The sequence below is a fragment of the Homo sapiens genome, chromosome 1 (assembly GCF_000001405.40).
Source record: "Homo sapiens chromosome 1, GRCh38.p14 Primary Assembly".
Lineage (NCBI taxonomy): Eukaryota > Metazoa > Chordata > Mammalia > Primates > Hominidae > Homo > Homo sapiens.
Genome location: NC_000001.11, coordinates 181,753,406 through 181,777,345, shown reverse-complemented (window position 1 = coordinate 181,777,345; position 23,940 = coordinate 181,753,406). Strand labels below are relative to the sequence as shown.

The following is a 23,940-nucleotide window of genomic DNA, read 5'->3' as shown; positions in this document are numbered from 1 at the left end:
GGAAGCAACTTGGTCCATGCCTGTAAAGGATAACATTTCTTGTAGTATTTTTCAGAGGGGGACCAGAATGGATAGAGGATTGGTGAGTTAAGACCCAAAAGCTAAAATGACCTGGAACAGAACAGTTCCTTTGGAGTAAGCATTCATAGAACTCTCACCTTGTCCTCAGCCATGAGGGCCAAAATGCTGCCTTTATACTCCAAAGCAGGGATTAGCAAATGTTTCTGGCAGTAAATTTTTTGACAGTAAAATATATAGGTTGTTGCAAAAATGGCCCACAATTACTTTTGCTCCAACCTAATATTTCTGTAGTAAATACTTTCAAATTTGAGGACCATACCATCTCTGTCACAATCACTCACCTCTTCCTTGTAGTATGTAAGCAGCCAGAGACAATACGTAAACGAATGGTTGAGCTGTCTTTCAATAAAACTTTATTTGCAAAAACAGACAATGGGCTGAATTTTGCCCATGGGATGTAGTTTGCCAATCCCTGCTCTAGAGCCTAGAAGGCACGCTATCACTTCAGAACTACTAAACAGCAAAAGAGACAGTAAAGAAGTTATCTTCACCAATTCCTACCATTTAATTTAGTTCCATGTAATAAAAATCCACAAATATTTAAGGGAACAGTTGGAAGAACAACTTGTTTGGTTTTTAAAAAATAATTTCAGAGTTATATCCAACTGTATCTGTTGAGAGGAACGAGAAAGAGAAAACACAGTCACTGATCATGGTGGCCAGATGTCCAGCTGGCCAAAAACCCTTGTCAAACCCCCTGATAACTCAAAGGAGTCCACTAACCATTGGCAGAAAAAGATTATTGGAAAGTTCTCTTGGGACTGAGCCCAAATAATCTGAGGTGAGGACTGGATGATGAGACCAGCCCACAAAGGGAAAACCCTGTCACAGAAGGAAAGAGAGGGGAAAGGAGGATACAGAAGTCCTTGGTGACTGGCTTGATACCAGAGCCTCTTCTATGGGCCACAATCAAGAGGAATCTCCTTTCCTTCTGTAACAGGCAGGCATTTGGGTGGCTCCAATTCCAGCCTCTTCCCTGGGAACTCCAGAGACCTTTGCTCTGGGCCCCGCTGGGGCGGCCGAGGGGCCTACGCACCATGCTGCTCGGTCATATTCTGCCCAGACGCGGACAAACTCGTCCAAGTGGTGAGGCCCCAGGATGGAGGAGTCCCGAGTCAGGTACTCAAAGTTGTCCATGATGACGGCCACAAACAGGTTGAGCATCTGAAGGGCAAGGGGAAGAAGAGGGGTTAGGGGAAACCTAAAGCAGAGCTCAGGAAGCAGAAGAACAGGCTTCAGGGCATGGAGGAGGGTGTTTTAGCAAACGAGCCAGAACAGAGGTATGCAGGGACAGGGAATAGTCAGGGATCTGCAAGGAGGGCGGAGCAGCTGGATCCAAGTGCCGGATCACAGAAGCATCTCATACACTGAGCTAAAGAGTGTAGACCAGGATCGGTGAACTGGTCAGATAGCAAATATTTTAGGCTCTGCAGGCTGTGTGGTCTCTGCTGTAACTATTCAGTTTTGCTGTTGTAGCACCAGACAGACCATTTGTATACAAATGAACACGATGGTTCTGGTTAAGCTTTGTTTATGGACGCTGAAATTTGAATTCCATGTAATTCCACGTCATGAAACATCATTCATCTTTTGTTTTCTTTCCTCAACCATTTAAGAACATAGAAGCCATTATTTCATGGGCTATACAAAAACAGGTGGTAAACCTGATTTGTCCCAAGGGCTATAGTTTGCCAACCACTGATCTAGATTGTTCTGTAAGCAACAGGAACTACTAAAGGGGTTTAGAGAGGAGAGAGATAAAGTGACATTTGCATTCAGAAAGAACTCTTGGTAGCAGCATGTAGGGTGGGTGGGAAACCAAGGGAGGATGTTGCAGTACTCCTGAATCTACCAGGGGCAGGACGACAGCACAGACCAGAGTAGAGAGTTAACAAAGGTGGAATCGACAGGACTTGATGTTCAACAGCACTGTTTCCTTGTTTCCTGGCTGCCCTGCTCACCCATTCACTGTATTTCTGGCCCAGGTTCTTGGCTGTTCCAAGTTAGTGAGATTCAGTGGGATGCCCTCCTGTGACCCAGGCCTCAACTAGTCATTAAACCCCATTTCCCTGGGCACAGTGGTTGGTGATCCCATCAAAACCAATAAAATGGTATTGAATCTTCTGGGCAAAATAGTTCTTCCTGTTGCTCTTAAATGTGTGAAAATGTGCGGTCTAGAGCTGCCACTACAGCCATCTTGAGATGTTGATATTTGCACTCACAAGGATGGAGCAAGGTGGAGGCAGAGATCTGTAAATAGAGAGAAACCTGGACCTGGTGATATCATCTGAGCCCCATATCAAGCCTGCTCTGCCCCAGGACTCCTCATTTACAGGAGCCTATAAAATCCCACTTTACTGAAGCAGATTTAGCTGGGCTTTCTGTCTCTTGTAAGTGAAAGGGTCCTGCCTGATAGATAACAACTGGTGGGAAAACTGGAGTCTCTATTGTGGACCCCCAGGCCAAGTGGCCAGGTGCACAGAGGTGCCAGATATGCAGACAGGGTGTACAGGATAAGGAGACAGTGTGGAGGAAGGACATGGTTGGAGTCTTTCTACAACACAGAGACTGCTGGTCATACCTAACAGCCAGACTCTTCTCTTCCTTCTTTTCTCCTGCTGCCTAGAGTAGAGATGGATGGCTGGAGGTCTAGGTGTCTTCTCTTCCATGAGGATGAGGGACACACCACAGAGGTGATGGAGCAGAAAGCAGGAGTAGGTCTGGGGCCCCAACACCCCTTTGGAGCCACCATAAACAGACTGCCTGCCTTCCTCCAGACTTCACTGATGTGGAAGGGAAATCAGCATCCCTCCTGGTTAAGCCACTGTTATCTGGAGATTTCTGTCTCATGCAGGCGAACCTAATCCCAACATGGGCCTGTCTTTCTGCCTCTGAGGTTGGAGCCACAGTGAACTTGTTCAACTACTACCTATCAGGCAGGACCCTTTCACTTACAAGAGACAGAAAGGGTTTTCCATGTATCCAGACATTTCTTTTGTATACTTTTCGGGGTACCTATTATTAATGTCAATGAAAACTGTTAGCACTGTTACTGCCTTTCATTTGAACAGTCATTAAGAGTGTAGCGTGTGCAGTCACACCTATTACTTGTTGTTACGCTTGCTCCAACTCTTTGTGAGGCAGGTTTAATTACCATCACCCTTCAAGGACAGAATTGCTTTGGATTCACATTTTTTGTTCTTAGCTTCCAGCACAAGGCCTCGGGCACATCGTAGAGGCATCAGTAAATCTCTGTAGAGTGGCTGGTTTGAGTTGAGAAGCTGTGTGACTTGTCCAAGGTCACAGTCAGTCTCATATAGATCTGAAAGCAGATCATCTCGTGCTGAATATAGCCTCATTAAAAATAACAGTAATGTGAATTATGCAGCACCCTCTGTCTCAAAATTCCAAAAGTACCTTTAAGGTCCCTAATTAATTTCCAGTTATATCTTTGGTTTCTTTTAAATATTTATTATGAAACACTTAAACCATATAAGATAAAAGTAAGATGTCCACATGCGCTTCTATCTGCTCCATTTCACCCTAGCAGTGAGCACCGATTCCTGGAAGCTGTGAGCTGGTTTCACCCCTTGACTACTGGTGACTGAGGGATGGGCCTTGCTGAGAGTGAACCTCACAATGGCCACTCAATAAAAATGTGCTGAAGATGTGAATAAATGGAAAACTCCCATCAATAGCATTATTCTAAATTTCAGGGGGTTTTTTCTTTATACATTATACTTCCATATTTGTAAATAAGATACTGTTGTATATTCTTTTCTTTTTACTGAAAAACCTTTCACATACATAAGAAGGAAGTGTATTAAAACACATGGATCAGTTCATTGTGTATAAAATGTTCCTATTATTAAGTCATTTTTTTCTCCCATTTTATAGATGCTATAAAAGGGAAAGTGTCTTGGCCCAGGCTAGCAGAGGAACAAAGCCAAGACTACTGCGTGGGCTGCCCACATCTCCCATTAGCTCCCTCCCTGCCACACTGACCTACAGGCAACACTTAATGGTCTTTCTGTAGCCCACCCCCCTCACTGGAGAGCTGGACATGTGGGAAGTTTCAGTCCCCTTGGGATCACTTGCAAGGTAGCAATGCCTGGACATAAGACAATTAATTCACTTTTTGATGCATGGCCATGAAATTGACCACTTTTCAGTGGCATCACTGTCTTAGTTTTAGGTTTTTGTACAGCCAGTGGCATTAGCAGTGTAGTTGAGCTGAGGAATTTCAGAGTGACCAGAAACACTAAACTGGCCCTTTTATTATTCTATTTATCACTGCTTGTCTGATATGCAGGGTAGAAGTTTCTGGAAGTGGGTGTGCTGAGTCATGCTTTCTCCAAAAGAGACTTCAGAGGCACGTAGGGCTTCCCACCACTTTATAGGTGGGTATGCTCCACATATACTACTCAATATTTACTAACACCCAAAGCAATCAAGCAATCTCATTCTTTCTCATCTATCAGCTGGTCAATTATCATCAAATGTAATAACATTACAAGTCAAGAGAGAACCACATTTATTCCATTATCATCATTCTACTCTTATCAATGCCATAACCTTGCATTTTCAAGGTACCTTTTCTCAAGCAGTTCAAAAATCTCCCAAAGCGAAGATATCCATAGACGTACTTATAAGATAAAATACCTGAGGTATGACAAAGGATTACTCTGAGTGTCCATAGATTCGATATGAAGCTCAATGCACTTAAATATGCTCACCTTCCCTTTTCACAACAATCTTTCCCTAGAACCAACAAAGACTTTTCTCAATCATTGAAAGTCACCCATCCAGGAGTCTGACAGGCACTCTAATCTCCAAGAGTTCTCCAGAGGATGATCTAGTTCTTAACCTGGGTGTGGACGTGAGTGTGAGTGTGTGCATGGTGGGGGTGTGGAGAGAGGAGGGGAGGGAGGCACAAACATACACTGAAGCAAACATCTCCGGTCTATGTATCAGAGGGTTAGGGGTAGGATGGGATGGGCCACATAGCAAGGCAAAAGCACAATGTTGCTCACCAAGAAGGAGCAGAAGAAGATGAAGGAGACAAAGTACACGTAGGCCAGATCGGTGCCGCAGCGTTCGTTCTCGTTCTGCCCTGATGGTGCGGTGGTGTCAGGCTCACAGCCCTTCTCCCCAAGGCATGACAGCATAATCTCCTGCCAGGCCTCACCTGTGGCACTCCTGAGCCCAAGAGACATTTTGGTTAGCAGGAGCAGCTCTGCAGATCCTATCATATTCTTGGTCCTCTTTCCCAATTTCCCCATCCTCGCTCTTGTCTGGGCCCAACAGGCTCTCTTTTTACCCAGTTGACCCCTTCTAGTGCTTTCCATGCAGAGATAAAGAGTCCCACTGAGGTCTGTTTTGGGTTCTGCTACCCCATCCACTGCGTCTCCATCTTTTATGGGGTCTCTGCTACTAGTCATGGGATTCTCTAAGACCCAGCATAAACCTGGCTATCTAAGGTTTCAGCCCTTAAGTGGAATTTGGTCTGCAAACACTGTCCTGACATTCCCCCCTCCCAAACCCTTGCAGGCCATGTTGAAGTTAAAATTTGCAAATTAACTGCTGAGCCAAAGACATTGATGAAATTTTCTCCCACCCAAGTATTTAGCAGACCCAACCCTGCTTAGCTTCCAAGATCAGACAAGATCAGGCACATTCATGGTGGTATGGCTGTAGACAAGACAAAACTGTCTAATGTTATAGGGGCAGTTTGGCAAAGACATTGCCTGTTCCCCTTTCTACTGACAGGAGCAAAGGAAGTGGAATAAAGATACAAAGGGAAATGGGAGGAAGAGGCAGACAAACTCTCTCTCCCTCCATCAGGAGAACCCCAGCTATGACAGTTACGCATCCAGGTACCTGAAGAGTAGCATTAGGGACCCAAAGAAACTCCGGAAGTTGTTGTGCCGGTTGATGTGACTCTCCTCGTCTAATTTTATGTTTCCAAATACCTTGAGGAGAGAAACAACAGAAAACAGTGAGCATTACCAAGCTGTGTGATGTGTCCAGCACATGAGGGTTGGCAAAGCCACTTGCATGGCTCTTCCCGATGACCTACCCCTGAAGCAGACAACTCAGACCCAGAGAGCTGCTGGATACTGTGCTTTTGGGCTGATATGCAAGAATAATTATCCTCCACTGCTCTAGTGCAGCAAAGGGGACCCATGCAGCAAGGTCCAAGCATAACGTAGAACGCAAGCTCTTTTGAAGTCATTCTGCCTGTACATAGTTCCTCCTACACCTAATCTGGTCTTTTAGTTCCATGGTACCTGTCACCATGGTACTCAAGCGTCTGTCAAAGACATTATCTCACAGCAGGAGTGCACAGAAGGAGCTACCCCTCTCTTCCTGTCTCAGGTAGTCATGATGGGAGCATTCAGATTTGCAAGAAGACATCATTTATGGCTTGGGCAGATGCCACCCTGCAATTTACAAGCAGATCAGGTTAGAGAGTGGCATCTCTATCTTCCTTAGATATGTTTCTATCCATTGAGTCACATCTTAGAAGGTCTGTATGTCATTAATGTAGAATCTATGAGATTGAACACACATATATCCACATGCATATATTTATATATGTCCACATGTATCATCCAACAGACCCAAATCCCATCCAAAAGGAAACATTTATGCAGGAGCTAAAATGAAGTCCAGGCCAATAGGATGGAGAAAGTCGGGCCAACTGGGCACTTTGAAAAGGAAAACAGAAAATGGCTTTGGGCAGATTCTGGGTGACAGAATGAGATTTGCTGATCTGCTGCTGGCTACTGAGCTTAGAATGTAATCACTGTGAACATTCAAAAGAGGGAACACTCAGAGATCTTTATCCACAGAGACTGAGTAATGATGAACTCCCAGACACAGCACTGCCTGGAGCCAAGGTCAACCCCTCCACTCTTCAGATGAAAAGGAGGCTTTCACATGCACCCTCCTTCCCCAACCACATTTTGGGTATCAGGACCTATTCTCACAAGTCAATGTTGAGACAATCGCGGACTTACTGGGTTACTTTTCCAGTCATTTGAGACAATTTTCAGCCTGCATTGAACATGCTTCAGTTTATCCAATGTATGCTAAATGGAACACATTTTCCCCCTCACAGTTTTTAGAATGTGCAATTGAGGAACAATCTCTGCCCCCAGCTATTTTGCTCAAGTAACTCCCACTGACACCTGCTCTGGGAATTTGTTCTCAATGCTGTTTTTCAAAACCCAAATACTACTTGTCTCTCAGGGAGAATGGAGGTGGCAAGTGAGGCAGCAGCAGAGAAGAATGGAAAGAGAAGAAGCAGCTAGAGGGCCCCAAAGAGACAAATAGTAGCATTTAAAAAATCCCACCCAAGCAGTCAAATCTAATTAACTCTGGATACCCCAGGAGGGCACTGACATTTATCCTTGCCCTGTTCACATTTCCTGCCCTCTTCTTCCCTCTTGGTTTGGAATTCATGATTTATCCCTGATTCACCACAGACATACAACTTACAGTGTCTTTTTTCCCTATGACACTTCTGGAGGTATCATGAGTTGAATTCATTATGATTTTCTCAAACACCTCATCCAATCACAAACTAACTGCAGAGCACACTGCGATTTTGCACAAAGTATGTGTGTAATAGTCCAAGAAACCAAAACTATTTATTTTGAATCTAAGATAATTTAAGTCAAGTCAAGCCGGGCATGGTGGCTCACACCTGTAATCCCAGCACTTTGTGGGGCTGAGGTGAGAGGACTGCTTGAGCCCAGGAGTTCAAGACAAGCCTGGGCAACACAGTGAGACCTCATCTTTACAAAAAAAAAAAACCAAAAAGCAGAACAAAACAAACATAATTTAAGTCAAAAACACATATTTATTGTGAAGATGTTCTTAAATTTTTTGTACTTTTTTTTTTTTTTCAACTTTTCACTTAGTCCTTGTCACTAACTTAAACCTCCATCAACAGGGTATGGAAGAGAAAGAAGGGATGCTGAGGCCTCATAGAAAAATCTCATGAGAGTATAGATTTAAATCCATTTCAGTTGGGATTACAGAACTTTAGAACTAGAAGAGACTTGTGAAGGTCTCTAACCAACACCTCCACTGTACTGGTGAGGGAGTTAAGGTGAAGAGAGATACAGTGACTTCACCAAGTTCACACAGTTGTTCAGTGAAGGAGCTGAGGCTGACAATCCCACTTCCTGACACCACGTAGCCACAGGGCTCTTTCTCATCCCCAGCAAGTTACTCCTCCTTTCGAACTTCCGATTCTTCTGCAAAGGTCCCTTTTTCCAAGGCGCCTTTGAAAGTTTGGAATAATAATGGTTTTTCTCATAGACATACCTTGTTGCTATTAATATTTTTCCAAAAGCTTGTCTCTGCCCTTGCGTTTATTATTTGTACAGATCCCTCAGTTTTGTTGTGACTATATTAGAAACAGTCTCTCTAGCAACAAGCTCAGGTGTCTGCTTTGTGCTTGGTGCTGTGTCTCTGTCATAGACCAGGATGGGGATGGCCAGCTCAAAGCAAGTCATAGCAGAAATGTCATTCATGTCTCTGTGGAATGGACATGGTGCTATTATCCTTTGGAAAGAAATCTGAGGGGAATAAGATGTTAGACCATACAGTTATTGTGAAGACTACAATTTCATAATTGAACAACTTCTACCTCCAACTAGAGGGTAAAAATAAATACTTGTGTCTGCTTGTCTGGTGGGATGAGACACAGTATAGAGTTATGAACATGGGCTAGGGAGCAGACAGAGCTGATCTTACAACTCACCTCTTTCACTTACTGTCTGAGAACTTGAGCATGTTATAAGTTACTTAACTATGCTAAGCATCAATGGAGACAATGAAACTCACCTATAAACGTTTTCACATTACTCAGAAACATTAGTCATATGTCTTGCCTGGACATGCTCACTCTCTCTTCCTTTCACTCCCTCCCTTTCTCCCCCCTCACTCTCTCTCTATGCATACATTTAGTACAGCGTCTTGTACACCAAGGAATTTAAATAATGATAAACAGCATTATCACCATTATCAGAATCAACAATATTCATACCAGATCAGTACTGGAGATGGTGTTATTCTAGTTTATTTTATTTGAAGATGAAAAGGGGTAAGAACTATTTTGAGCATAGGCAAAAGGAACTTCATGATAACCAGATGAGAAGAATTATAATGTTTCCAACATAAATAAGATATAAATGTTTGAGGTGATGGATAAACCAATTACCCTGATTTGATCATTACACATTGTATACGAGCATCAAATTATCACATGTACCCCAAAAATATCTACAATTATACATCAATAAAAAATCAATTTTGAAAAAATAATTTAAATCAAGCTTTCATTTGGCTCTTCAAGAATATTTTAATTCCAGAATCAAATATATTGGAGTTAGACAGGACTTCATGAACGTTACAAAGCCAATATGAAACTTCAGCAGGAATTCTATTTCCAACACTGCCAACATGATCATTAAATTCCTACTGAAATATCCTCAGTGAAGGAGAACCCACTACTTCTCAACCAAGTCTCACACATTTTGACACTTGACATTCTATTGTATTTTTAGAGAACAAAATTCTCCAGTAATAGAGTTAAAGAATGAAACCAAGAAGTACAGGCAAGAGAGAAGAGTGAAAGGAAGAGACATTTCAGAAAGGGTCTGGAAAAGGCTGCAGACACAGCAAGGCTGGGACACTCCAGCAGCAGCTCCAGGTGGCAACACAGTTGGGAAGGCAGCCAGCAGGCCCAAGGCAGCCAGACTGCCTGACTGCAGGAGGCTGTCACATAGCCGAAGTTCTATGCTGGGATCTAGTCACAATATCTCCAAGTCAGAAAGTTAGCCCTCTGGAGACAAGCAGAAAGCCTGTGTCTCCAACCAGATAGGTTCATGGGATGTGCTGCTGGTTATTTACAGTAGGAATTCACCCACCAAGAACCACCATCATCTTTGAAAGATCCTTTGGCTTCTTCTGCTTAGTAGGCCTCTGGCTACCTGCATAAATACCTGGGATGGGAAAACAAGGGAACTGTCCAGGAAGTTGCATGGCCTAATTAGCTGGAATGTGGCCCTTGAGTCTCCCTAGGAATGAACGGGCTGCCAGGAACTCCATGAGTTGTTCACAGTGATGTATCTTAGGGCATAAATCTCAGCCAGTCAAGACTGTGTAAGTATAAGACTCTATAAGACAGCCATGACTATATGTGGTGATTTGGTGTCACCATATACAGGAAGAACTAACATCTGACCTTCTTTTAGGCCAAGTCAAAATACCAGAGATCCTGAGAAATAGATCCTTAGTCTCCTGGGGGATCTTTCTGGCTAAGAACAATGGTGTCATCTTTGCTTTAGTTCTATGGCTGTCACCACAGAAGCCCAGCTGCTTATGAATTAGCACCATGATCTGACAACCTGAGATGAAGCCCCTGTACCAGACTACCCTGAATACTTAGGCAAGCTAAAATGGGGAGCCACTGCACATGTGAAATTCCCAAGGTCACACTGTGACAAGACCTCAGGGGAGCACCCTTAGGCAAGAAGGGGTTCAAAGCATCTTCAGGTCTTGCATGCTTAGGTTGCTAAGCCAGAGATTATCTGGGTAACAGCTGTCCCCCACCGGGCCCTTGATTTACCAGCTCACCTGCATCCCAATGATGGCATAAATGAAGAAAAGCATGGCAATTAAAAGGCAGACATAAGGGAGGGCCTGGAAGGAAAGCAGAGATAAGACGTTAATCAAAGAAAAGCAGCACCCAAGCTCAACAACCTGCAGTCACCGGCAGTACAGGATCTTGCCTGGAGGCTAATGCAAACACAGACTGGGACTCCCTATTCCCTGGGGTTGTTCTGTTTTGAGGTGTAGTACTTTCTCAGGCATCCTTGTCCTCTGACAGATAGGTAAACAGTTGGCCAAAGGGAGGCTTAAAATTTACCTCTATCAGGGAGATTCACTCACCCATAAATGTAGCCCATATCTAGAAGGAAAGCTGGGAAAACTTCCTGGGCTTGGGGTTCATCCCACTTGCCATGCAGAAAATTAATAACCTAGCAATTGTGATGCAAATTAAATATGAAGCACCTAGCTTTGGCTTCCAAATCCCTGTATTACCCCCTCCCACTCCCATACCCAAAGTGGCACCCATAATGAAGAATCTGGAATCAAAGTGAAATGATTGGGGTCTCACTTGTTTGTAAGTTCCTAGAAAGGTCATTCATTTTCTGATGAAATGTCATTTCCCAGTATTTAAGCCTCCTGGCGTTTTATTATGTTTCATGCAAAAGCCTGGTAAGTTAGCCACCAAAAAACTCTGCCATGAAGCCATGTGGCACAAAATTCCATACTGCGCATGCTTATTGCCACTTTGGGATAACATTTCAGTTTTAGAGGTGAGGGTCAAGGCAAGGAGATATGAGGCAGGGAACTGGCCTTGGTACTGGAGGAGGATGCAGACATAGGACAGTTTGGATTTGGGGCCAGAGTGGGACACTGTAATTTTGCGTTGATCTCAGCGCTGCCAGAGAAGTCCCTCTTCTTTACCATCCACTAAGCTCCCTGGCAGACAGTGCTACGAGGAGTCTCCACCCTGTCTTGATTGTGCACATCATGAATCCCAGGAGATCAATTGAGGCTTTCAGACTGCATGAGCAGGGCAGAGCTTTTCAACAGCACTAACAAAATGAAGAGCCCTATGAGACTATTTACAACTTGAAGAGAGGCTAAAATTAAAATGCAACTGAAAGTGGGTGGGAGAATTCCCTCTCCAATGAAGTGTTGATTCCTAGGCTCTGTGATGGGGGTTGACTACACTTTGATGGGCAATGTGGACCTCCTCTACAGAAAGCCAGAAGGAAGGACAGGGTTTCTTGTGCCTGCAGTGCTGCTACCTTTCATCTTTACCTTCTGCCCTTATTCTACTGTCTCCACTCTAGTCCCTAGTTTATCTCTCCCTACTCCCAATGTAGGGAGAAAAGCAAAGATTCATTCTGTTTTCCTTTCTTGTCATGTTTATACATTCTAACACAAAATAAGGGAAAAGAGGGAAGAACTCTAGAGTAGGGGTCAGAGGTAGAAAACTGGATGCTGTTTAGGGAGGGTGGGGGAGGTATAGGCAATGGCGATGCTCTTTATATCGTGTGGCTCTCTGCTTTCTATTTGCAGAGGTAGTCTTTGTTAATCTGACTTTTAAAAATCAAACTTCTATACTGTGTCACAGAACTGTTCTGAAAAGGGAACATCTATCTATAACACAGTGTCACCTGGAGGCAAATTCACCTGTCTTCCCTGTTCTCTGTAGTATTTGCTGGAATAAGCCAACCATTTGGCCATCAATTTTTGACAATATTTTCTTTGCCCTCAATAGTGTATGGTTTCTCAGAGACTTGGTGATTGTGATAATATGACAGGATGACACATATTTCTTAAAAGACTAACCACTGAAGTTTGTTGGGCAATCCTCTAAAAAAAAAAGGTTTTAAAAGCATGTTGTGTTTCCAATTCTAAATCCAAAATCACCTGAGACTCAGAAAATTCTCACTAAGGTTTTAGATTTATCCTCCATATCTAACTTTAGAAAAATAGTTTTCATTGAAGTGAGGCCTCGTGGGAGTCATTACGCCAAACACTTTCTCTGGATATGATAAAAAGTGTCAAGGTCGCTCCTAGGAGCCAGAACATCCTTAAAATTGATCTCACATCTCAAAATCCCAGGTCCTCGATGAAGAAGTAAATCAGTAATGATGGATGTGGGGAGAAATCCTTTTCCAAGTGATGAGAAACCATGAATTCACTGGCTTGCCTTCTTTAGCTTAATTTTTAATTAAACTATAAATAATTAAAATAAGAAAGTCAATTTGGTGAATTCATAATTTCTCATCTTTGAATCACTTAATTCCATCAAATTTATTTTTAAACACATTCACTGAAAAACTCATTTTGGTAAGAACAGGCATTTGAACAACATTTAGGCCCCCCAAAGCTTAAAAACAACTAATTTATGATATTTGCTAGAGTCCAAAGATATTTCAGTATGTTTAAGAAACTTTTACTCAAAGTCTGGGTCTCAGCTGTCAATTTTTTACTTATATTTATCATATGTACACCTCTGTACAGCTCCACGAGACTGTGCAGAGGAAACACATCATATTAACCTGCCCAGATGTCCCTATTTATTTGTAGGACACAGAGGTGGCCATTAGTATACCCTGTGTTCAGTGGCTCAGGAAATAAACACTGATGAAGACAAAGGTGGGGCTAAGTATGAATCATCTCTCTATGAAACACAACTCAATGAGTCCTTTGAAAAACTTTCATGTGAAATAAAAACAAACACCCAAAGTCCCTGAAAATGCAGAGGACATCTGACTACAGATGGCTGGCTCTTTACATGGATGGGGTTACTCAGGACTGTCTGGAATCTCTATGGATGAAGCACATCTTATAAAATGTGTCCCCTGCCTCAGCAGACAGAGAGGATGCCTGAGTCACAAAGTCAAGGTGTTTTTCTAAAATAAGATTCTATCCAGTAGACATAAGCTGATCCCAGTCAAGCCAAGCTGTGCTGTAACTAAGAATTGCAGTATTTACTGAATGCTTCTAACAAACACCCGTTCTACTAGCTTCAGCTTCCCAGAGGTGAAGGGACTTGGGTAATGATGCCAGTGTTGCCTGGCTGTACTGTCTGATATGACAACCCTCAGAGAGGATTTGCTGGTACCTCTTACCTTAAAGGACTGCACAAAGGTCCACAGCAAAATGCGTATGGTATAGCCCTGACGCAGGAGCTTTATGAGGCGGGCAGCTCGGAAGAGCTTCAGAAAGCTCATATTGAAGCCACTGGTGTTCACCAGCTGGTGGACCAAAAGGAAACATATAATTAGGAACATTATGGTGATTTAGAAAAATCTAAGCACTAGTATTTGTGTATTTATCCCTCATTCCGATAAATGGGACACAGTCTCTGTCTTTGTTAACCCCAATTCCAGCTGATGGGCTGGCCAGTGAGGCCCATCTCCTAAGCCTTCCCATGCCTGCTCTCTATCCCCAGGTAGAAGGGTAAAGGATGTACTGGAGAAGGGTACCCTGCACACAAAACCAGCCTCCCTAGTCTTCTACTGAGTGGCCTGAAGTCTGCACTTAAATGCCAAAAAGAGCAGATCTAGGAACCCCTCTAGCACACGCTGGCCCTCTAATATTCAAAGAGAGTTACCCTGAGCTCTCCAAGTCATCTTTAGAAGGAACAAGTTTATGGAAAAAATACAGGTCTGTGAACTTTGAGGGCAAAGATACTGTGCCTCCTTTGAGACTCTAGTGCAACGCTATGCATACTAGCTCTCTTCTGACACCGTCTATCCCACCTACCCCATTAGAGGTCTGCTGCCTGAGTCAGGCAAATCAACAAAGCCTTCCTGGAGATCCAGTGCCACTCCCAAGTTTGCATTCCCTGGCTGATGCCAAGCAGCAAGGGAGTAAATTCCCAACACTTAGAGGGGTACGCATTTGCTTTGGTGGGTTAAAAATGGACTGAATATACAGAGGAGTTTTAAAAATGCTACTCCAGGGCCAAGCTTACAGACATGGATCTTATAAGCCATTCACCTTGCTGTCTGTCAGGATAATTTCTGTGATACTGCCAATCACGGTGATGAAGTCAAAGATATTCCAGGTGTCTCGGAAATAGTTCTGCCAAATGAATTCAGTCATAGGAACATCAGAAAAGGAAAGAAAAAAAAAAGGAGAAAAGACATCTTTCATTATATAACTTTGTTTGTCCCTTGGAAATAAAACTTGTCAATTAATGCATAAGTTCACTCTTACTTTGGCTTCAGTTTCCCATTTCTAACCAGAGATGCCATTTCTCCTTTACTAATCTGGAAATTTCTCATTTGGAAAGCAGTTCTATCACTATTTGAAGACTTTATCTTTGAAAACTGTCACCAAAAGCTCATATGTAAAAAAAGTTTTTTTCAATTTTTATTTTTAACAAATATTTATGTATTTAAAAACCTCTATGGAGGCATGATTGACAAATAAAAAGCTATCCATATTTAATGGCTATATCTTGATGGGTTTGGGGAAACGTTTGTACCTGTGAAACCATTGCCATGGTCATACAGCTATAACTTTTAAATTATCTCTATTGCGTCAAGTGCCCTATAAAATACAGTCTGACTTTCAACTATCAACAAAAGTCACACAAGTCATAAGTGACTGAAGGTTACAGATGTGCCAAAAATCTCCTCCTAACTCCATTGAGCCTTTTCAAACCAACTACTGATTGGTAATAGGATAAATAGACTTCATCTTTCCACTCTTTCTCTGCTGTTACATCTTTTGAGGAGATGTAACTAAGTACAAGGAAGCAGTAATACAATGAGTGGGCTGAAGGAGATATAAAGAGCCTGGAAAATCCACCAACCAGATAACACTCCATTTAACAGGAGAGGGTGGACTATGCATCCATCTCCTAGGCTCAGATGAACACAGACCTTAGACTATGTTCCTTTAAAAACAAACAAAAAGGACACTTGAATCTCAAAAACAATTCACTTGCCTGCCCCTGGGACATTTAAAGGGCAGTCTGTAACACAGAAAACAGAGATTTAAATCAACAGAATAAAGAAATTCAGAGGAGACAGAGAAAGTACCAGGAGGAGAAAATTTCAAACACCTGTAATTGATATCCTCAGCAACATCACAGGACAATGGATTATTTTATTCTATCCTTGGAATAAAACACAAGAGACTCTCAGAGCACTGCAGAAGTATACTCCAACCCAGCCTCACAACTAGCATCATTGAATTCCTACATGAGCCAGACACTAGGCCAGGCCTTTGGCATTCTTTCAACTCATTTATTCTTCTCATGGATCCTAGAGGCAGGGATTGAAAAATATCCCATGTTCATAAAGTCCTGAATGGAAGAGTTGGCAAGAGGAGTTGGGGGAAAATACCCAATAAAGAAAGAAAAGGAATGTGGAGAGAGAGAAGTTACATTTAATGAACACCCACTCAGAAGGTTATGAACATCACTTAATTGGATACATACAACAAAGTAGCTAAGGCCATAAGGTAGCTACTATTATCCTCATTTTATGTATGAGAAAATGAGGCTGAAAGAGGCCTTATTACAAAGCCACATGTACCTATGGGGCATATGGACAGATTGAATCACACAGTTTCATAAATTCACTTTCCATTAGAATATTTAGTCTATCAGTGGTGGAGCTAAATTAAGTCTCCGAATTCCTCAATTCTCAGGGCTCTCCTATTGTCCAACCTGGGGTGAACTTCCTAATTCTTGGTTTTAATTCTTTCTAAACCTTGGTGCATGGATCTAGGTCTCAGAGGACCAGAAGCTCTGGATTCCAGTTAACAATGCTTTACAATACAGAATAGCATGCTGTGGTATAGACTAGAACACTGGTATATGGTATAGAATAGTACAGTGCAGTGTAGACTAGATTATTGTGAGCTTTGAAGTCAGATAGAACAGGGTCTGAATCCTGGCCCTACCTCTTACTAATCTTGGCCAAAGTATTCAACCTTTCTGAGCTCCAGCTCATCCATAAAAAGGAGAAAATAAGAATGCTTATTTAATATATTGTTATGGAGAGAAAAGCAATATGTAAAGCATTTGGTACTTAATAGCCAACCAATTGTTGTTACATCTTTCCCTCTTTTTCTTTTTCCCTTCCCTTTTTATTCCCATTTAGCCTTGCAATTCTATTGCCTTTCATTGTGTAATCTTTAAGAAGCTATACAATTTTTCTGAACTTCAATTTCCTCATTTAAAATAACAACAACAATAATGGCAATTATGATAGTGACATCTGCCATGCCTATTTCAGAGTCACTGAGAAGATCTAACGAAATAGTATATATTACAATATTCTGAAAGCTTAGAGTGCCTTAACAATGTAAAGACTTATCAGAATTAGTGGTACCTTTTACAGAGTGAAAATCCCTCTAGACCTTGAATGAAAACATGGGGGTAGGGTGGGAAGGAGGCAGGCTTCAAGGGCCGAATCTAGTTAAGGCTGTGAGTATATATTCAGCACTCACCATAATTAGACACATAATGGGACTTAAGTCACAGACAATGTCAATACCACATACAAGTAATCAACATGCATAGAAAAAATTTCCCTGTTGTGGTGCTTGCGTCTCCCTCTCTCTCAGCTCCCCCTGCTCAGGGCTAGACTGTATTATAAAGGCATCTTTGTTGGTAGTAGTTTCTTTTACTTTTTTATTTCCCCAAGTCTCAAAACACTCAAAAGGGAGCCAGGCAAACACAATGCAGCCAACTGCAATTGGTTCCCTTAAACTCTCCACCCAAAATGATCAAATTAATGGTTTTTCAAAGAACCGCTGGGAGACCAAAAGCAGCCCCCGTAATCAACACTCACAATTATCGAACCCAGCCCAGAGTCTCTGTTAAAGCTGCTACCAGACAAACACTTATTCAGATAATGAGCAAAGTTCTCCTCCTTGCAGGGAAAGCCATACACACATGTAATTTGAAATGGTAGCTCACGTCCTAAGTAAGTGTGAAACAGCTGTCACATGGGCTTGCATCCCACTGAACTTGCTGCACACAATGAAGCAGGTTGGGGGGAGGGTGGCCAAGGGGATTATCTTGTTTATAGGGCACTGAAGCCAAGGGCTGGATTTTCTTAACACTCTTGAGGACAGATGCAAGAATTTGCCCAACAATTATAATTATTAATAGTAGTTGAGGAGAAGAAAAAAGAGGGCTCATGGCAGAAAAATTCATCATCCCCAAACCTCCTCAAACTTAATTCCAGAATCCTTCCCCTTGCACTCCATACACACACACACACACACACACACACACACAGACACACCCCTTAAAGGTCATTAGCCTTTATAGGCATAAGTAATAAACACCTATTTTCTTTGGCAGAAATTACTCTTCATGTTACTAATGGCAGAAGGACTAATAGGTAAAAATCTATTATTTGCTATGTTTGAGGCTAAGAGAGATAGTTATTTTCCCATTTGTGTTATAAAACTGTTATACCTTTTACCAGTAAATAAGCACTCGAAGTTTATTAGTCCAATCTTTGGCTTCCTCCTTCATCTACACATAAATTGCAGTTCTAGTGAAACTCAATGATGGCCGCCTCTGGACTGCTGACAGAATTTCACAGGACCAGGCTGATGGCTGTGGCTTCCTTTGCCCTTTCTCCCAGCTTCCTCACACATCATCTTGTCTCTACGGCAGTTTACTGAGCAGTCAAAACGAGCCCACATCTAGGTGGGTGATTTCTGGAATAGCAGTAACCACCTCCCCTTCAACAAAGACTGGGAAGGCACCCAACAGAAAGAGACAAGCCCAGTGCTGGGAAGGATTCAGCAACATACCAAAAAGCCAAAAGCGATGACCTTCAGGACACATTCCAGGGAAAACACCATGGTGAAGGCGATATTCAGGTACTTCAGGGCCAGCTCATAGGTACAGGGAGCAGAATAATACTGCCAGGAAGAAAAAAGAAGAGAGAAAGAATCACAGCCTTAAGGTAAGAGGGGGAATACATGTCACTGAGGTTGGCCATCTCTCATTCCTGCCCTGTGGGACACTCTGGTGTGTGGTACAGGAGGAGAGATGGACTTCGAGTGCTGGAGAGGAGAACCACATATTCTACCCAACAAAACAAAGGAAAACACAGACCCACGCCCCACCAGACTTAATAGCAAAACAGCCAGTCTTCCTAGAGATGAGGGTGGGCAGGGAAGAAACATTTTCTAGAGTTAGTTACTGGAGTTAGTCATTTAATATTAAATAGGATGAGCCTCTCTGAATACTCCAAGGCTCCTTTAGACCCCGTGATGATGGATCTCTGTCTCCTGATTTTTCCACCCTTGTCTGAAGCTGCCTCCCATTGCCATCTCAGGTCTTGGGAGCCCCTGGATGGCTACTATAGTCTGCACTGCATTTTGCTCAGTGGACCCCCAAAGCCCCAGAGGTTGGGTTATTGAACAAAATAAGATCACAAAAGGATTCAATGATGGAAAAGTAGGTAAAGCAGTGATGGGCTGGGATGTTGGGGTGTCTTCCCACTTGCCCTGGGAGGGAACCATCGCTGGGGCTCAGTCGGCTCTTGTGCCTCTCTCCTCTCACCTTCATCATCAGCACAACAGTATTCAAGGCGATCATGGCCATAATGGTGTACTCAAAGGACGGAGACACCACAAAGTGCCACACGCGGTACTGGAAGGTGTGTCTGTTCTGCGGCATGTAGCGGGTGAGAGGTTTGGCGCTGATGGCGAAGTCGATGCACGCCCTCTGCAAGAAAGTCATGGTTATTAGCACAAATTCAAATCCCCTAGATCTACCATGGCAGGCTCTGTTCCATGCTCAGAAGAGGAGGACGGTGAATGGGAAAAAGGGCAGGGCTGGGCAAGTAAAGATGGCAACTGGGGTCACTTGGACAAAACTACAGACAAGGCGTCACCTTAAAGGAGTACACAAAACTGGAGGTGTTGCCACATGGAGTAGGGACTTCATGGTTATTAAAAAAGTCCTTTACACAGCATGTGGCTGAGCTGTTTAGGCAGGAATCCTTCCTTGATGTCCTTAGTCAGAAGTAAAGATCTACCTACCTATGTATTTCTACAGCACTTTATGTCGCATTTCTCTTACAGTCCCTAACAGTTTCTAGTTCAGTTCCATCGAAAAAATAAAATAAAATAAAGAAATTTCAAAAACAGCTTTTGAAACCTTACAATGTGCCAGAACTATGCTTGTTGCTGGAAAAGCTGCGATAAGACACATTCCCTGCCCTTACAGCAAGTACATGGCATGGAAGGTCACAGTCAGATAAGCAGATATCTGAAGTTATCATTGTTTTCTAGACTATGTGCACACAAAGGTAAAGACTGCATGTTAAACATCTTACATATCTTCCAGATCTCCGTGCCTCATACGTGGGCCTTAAACAGTGCTTGGAAAATGCTTATTTAATGGCTGAATAGTTACTTTTCCCATCTTCTCTCTATAATTCTTAATCAAGTTAAGAAAATGCAGTCCTCCTTTCTTACATTGCTGGCCCAAGAATCCTTTCTGGAGCCTCTGCTGCTCCCCACTTTAGACCAATTGTCATTACCTCATTCTTCTCCAGGCTGCACTCCTCCATCATCTTATCCCCTTGCTCCTGGAAGGTGATGATGATGAGAGCCACAAAGATATTGACAAAGAAGAAGGGGAAGACCACAAAGTAGACTACATAAAAGATAGACATCTCCATGCGGTTGCTGCGGCTTGGGCCTCGGTCTTCCTCTGTCACATCTACAGAGTGCTGCAGAACTCTATGGGGACAGAACAAGAGGGCACAGATGGTGGATGACAGTCTTGGCTTCGTTAGGAAATGTGCCACCTATTATAATTTTTTATCTGACTTCTTTGACTTTGCAGATCCTCCATTAATTTTTTTTGAGTCCAAACCCAAGTTGTCATATCCTGCTATCAACAATCCACTTCTCTTTCTAGCCTCTGTTCCATCACGCACTCAACTCCTAAGCAACAGAGGGACACCATTTCATAGTTTAGGTTGTCATGTTCAATACAAAGAGACTCCCAGATTCCCATTTAACATTTTGCTGCCAAGTAGAACCTGTTGCCACTAGAGAGTGGTGTCTTAGTCATTGCTAAGTCTCTGAGAAATTAGCTTTCAACTACGGGCAGCATAAGACCTGCATTCTGTGGTCTTCCTCATGATCACAGGAGGTGCCTTTGGGTTTTGCCAACTCATTCTTAACCCTCAATCCTCAGGCTTTCAGGTGCTGGGCCCCCCTGGAGGATAAATCTGTCTATAACAGCTCTCAGGAATTCTCCTTATGGGTACAGGGCTGTTCAAAACTCATTTGTTCCATAGAAGTCAGATGGCTCCACTTGACTCCTCAATAATTGGCTAAAACATTAAGAGTTTCAAATATTTTCCTGATTTGCTCACCCACTTCTCTATTTTTGCCTGAAGAATTTTCATTCTTCCTCTTTTCTGCCTGTGTCACCTTCTCAAAACCCCTTACTTTCCCTGATACAATAACAAAGCGTGAGCCTTGTTCATCTTGAGTCAGCTTCTCAAGGCAACCAGGGGTCCTATCACAGCCACAGACAAGCATGACAACTCAATCACTCACTGAGGCCATCCTTCCCCTGTGGAGACGGTGAAGAGGGTCAGCAGGGCCCAGATAATGTTGTCGTAGTGGAATTCATGGCGCTTCCATTCCCGGCCCTTCACCTCCATCTTGTTTTTCTCATGATCTACATAGTTGCCTCTAAAACCAGAGCAGAAATGAAAGAGAGCCTCCTCACTATAGCTCATTCTACAGAAGAGTCAGCACATTCTACAGGCCGCAATAATGTGGGGGTAATAATGATCACCATACATGTGTAAGGCAAAAGGAATTCTATTAAAGGAAGGTATTTTTACCATGGAGCAAAAATGGGATTTGGTGCCCAACAGATACAGGAGTAAATCCTAACCCTTTCACTACTGGCTGTGTAACCTTGAGCAACTTGCTTAAACTTTCTGAGTCTTAGCTTCCACTTGTATAATAAGCAAATAAAACTTATTTCAATAGCTGGTTATAGGGGTTTGAAATGAAAACTCGAGTGTAAAATGTCATGGTACGAGATATTTTACACTCAAGTTTTCGTGTCTGACACAAAAGAGGCACTCAGTAAAAAGTTTATTGATTCCATTTTGTCTTTTTGCTGAAAGAAGAGCAGAGATGGGTAAGATAGAAAGGAGGGAGGGTGGACCTGTGGTGGTGGAGTGGGATCATCAGGACATGCTTCAGCAAAATCAAGTGGAATGCGCTGGTGGCACTTACATGCACTCCTTCTCTGTGTCCTTGGAACTGTCCGTGCAATAAAAGAACTTTCCCTTGAAGAGCTGAACTGCGATGACAGCAAAGATGAACATGAAGAGCTTGTACACAATGAGTATGTTGAAGACATTCTTCAAGGAGGTCACTACGCAGTCGAAGACGGCCTGTGGACAGAGCAAACAGCCCTGCTGTGTGAACCCTGTGATGGTCTGCATACTTGCCTAGAGCCGAGCTGGGCCATACCACCACTACCCAGCCCCACCAAGAAGTTGTCCCAGGAGAGAATTTCCTGCTAAGAGGTGAGGTGGTGCTCATGAGATTAAGGGCTGGCTTCTAAGCTGGTTATGACTGCAAGGACCTACCACCTGGGATGGGAACACATGTTCTGAAACTGAATGTAGACCCAACGCAGTAGAAATCAGATGATATCAAGCAAGGAATGCGGTCCTCTGTGTGATCCTGGTACGGGTACTCCACTTAGTGTGAAGCATAGAAGTGTATAGCTGGAAGGAATATTTGAGATCATTTAGCCAATTTTAGTCTTTAAATAGCTTGTGCTTTATTTGGTGACGTTCTTAGATTCGATTTATATACTGATTATGTATTGTTTTCTCCTTACCTTTCTAAAAGGATCAGGTAATAATACACTATCATCTTTGTTCATTTCACTAATATTTCATAGGCAAGTTCATACATTTATGATTATATTCAGCACTTCATGTAAATGTTCTCTAGTGAAGGTGGCTGCATTTGGGATGAAGACCAATAGAAGTAATGTGGGAAAGACCAATAGACACCTTCTCTTAGAGATGGCGAGGCTGGGTAGATAGAACTAGGGACTTACACTTCAGTTAAAAGGCAACAGACCTCCAGAGACCTCCACTCTAGGCCCTAAGCTGTGAGGAGTTACATGGGAATTCAATACATTGCAGGGCATTTTCAGGTTATTTTCTAGGTTTTTAGGTTTAGCTCACAGGACAATCTAGCCCCACGGTGGTGCTGCATTTGTGCAGTTGCTTCTTTGCAGCACTGGGTGAAGCACTGCTGGTTTAATTAGTTCAACACTGCAGGGAATGTAAGTGACAGGCACCCTTGTGGAATCATCAGAGCCACCTACGTCTCTCTCAGGTTATGGAGCTGCAGAGCGAGGAACTAGCCCTTTCTAATTTAACAGAATTAAGCCAGGTTGCAGGGTGCTTTCTCTGGCCTATTAACGAATCTCATCAAGCTTGTCTGCACTCTCCTTGAGGCCCACTGAATCCTGCCCTGCAGGATCACTGACAATACTGATAAGGGTCAGGGCCCAAGGCAGCCTGGCCACGCTCTGTGTGTGAGGCAGAACCCAATGAGCATTTATGGGCAGGAAGGTGGTAAGAAACAGCTGACATTGTGAGAAGTGCTTCCTCCAGGGGGGAAGGCGGGGTAGCCAGGGAGGACAGCAGTCGGCCAGGCCACTTCCTTGGGAGCATGGGTGTCTCTCTCTGGGAACCCACGCGGTGGGCCAGGGCCCTGGGCTCTGAAAGGTAGCCAGGTTTCAGTCACATCGGGGCCTCTCAGAAGTGACTTTTCTTCTGTTTCACAAACCTAGTTAGTTTTGCCTCCTCTCTGCAGAGCTAAATGGCTGAAAGGGAAGCAGTGCTATGAGGCCTGAAGGAGGTCTGGGGTAGGCGTGGGCAAAGAGTATCAGAGGTGATGAGAATTCAATAGGAAGTGGGAATTGAGAAGCAAGGGAGAGCCAAGTGCACAAGAGCCCTCCCCAAGCTGTGTCCTCCGTGGCAGGCTTGGGAGAGCAGGCCCAGGCATTCCAGAGGAACTGTTGAGTTTTCTAACAGGGACCACTCACGTCAGTTCATTTTCTCCACACCACAGATGTATGAGTTACAATGTGTCCTCATTTCCCATGTGAAAGAAAGTCAAAGAATAAGTAATTTGCCCTGGGTCATATAGCTTCTAAGTCCTAGAGCTGAGCCTCGCACTCAAGTGGGTTCTTTTTAA

At 43.2% G+C, this 23,940-nt stretch overlaps 1 protein-coding gene and 1 pseudogene across 14 annotated transcripts in view, besides 2 other annotated features; both read right to left on the bottom strand.

Annotated features, from left to right (window-relative positions):
- Window positions 1–23,940, bottom strand: part of CACNA1E (calcium voltage-gated channel subunit alpha1 E) — a 490,386-nt gene that overhangs the window by 30,739 nt on the left and 435,707 nt on the right. For 12 of the 14 annotated variants that reach the window (XM_017002244.2, XM_017002243.2, XM_017002249.2 and 9 more), the window contains 11 exons: window positions 21,949–22,109; window positions 21,253–21,390; window positions 20,220–20,421; window positions 19,235–19,399; window positions 18,478–18,588; window positions 14,689–14,772; window positions 13,815–13,940; window positions 10,735–10,800; window positions 5,962–6,053; window positions 5,115–5,280; window positions 1,118–1,245 (listed from right to left, as the gene is read on the bottom strand). In XM_017002244.2, coding sequence (XP_016857733.1) covers window positions 1,118–1,245; window positions 5,115–5,280; window positions 5,962–6,053; window positions 10,735–10,800; window positions 13,815–13,940; window positions 14,689–14,772; window positions 18,478–18,588; window positions 19,235–19,399; window positions 20,220–20,421; window positions 21,253–21,390; window positions 21,949–22,109 — 1,439 coding nt within the window. Of the gene's footprint in view, window positions 1–562; window positions 1,246–5,114; window positions 5,281–5,961; window positions 6,054–10,734; window positions 10,801–13,814; window positions 13,941–14,688; window positions 14,773–18,477; window positions 18,589–19,234; window positions 19,400–20,219; window positions 20,422–21,252; window positions 21,391–21,948; window positions 22,110–23,940 lie in introns of those variants that run through there. The other 2 variants (XM_017002248.2, XM_047429980.1) reach the window with 2 other exon arrangements.
- Window positions 5,702–5,780, bottom strand: RNA5SP70 (RNA, 5S ribosomal pseudogene 70; annotated as a pseudogene).
- Window positions 8,246–9,445: an enhancer, noted in NCBI's record as "MED14-independent group 3 enhancer chr1:181737037-181738236 (GRCh37/hg19 assembly coordinates)". NCBI's record gives its function as "activates an origin of replication core promoter dependent on BRD2, BRD4, P300/CBP and CDK7 cofactors, and independent of MED14, by STARR-seq in HCT116 cells {active_cell/tissue: HCT116}" and the evidence as "EXISTENCE:reporter gene assay evidence [ECO:0000049][PMID:35650434]".
- Window positions 8,932–9,091: an enhancer, noted in NCBI's record as "active region_2195". NCBI's record gives its function as "activates an Ori minimal core promoter by ATAC-STARR-seq in GM12878 lymphoblastoid cells {active_cell/tissue: GM12878}" and the evidence as "EXISTENCE:reporter gene assay evidence [ECO:0000049][PMID:35858748]".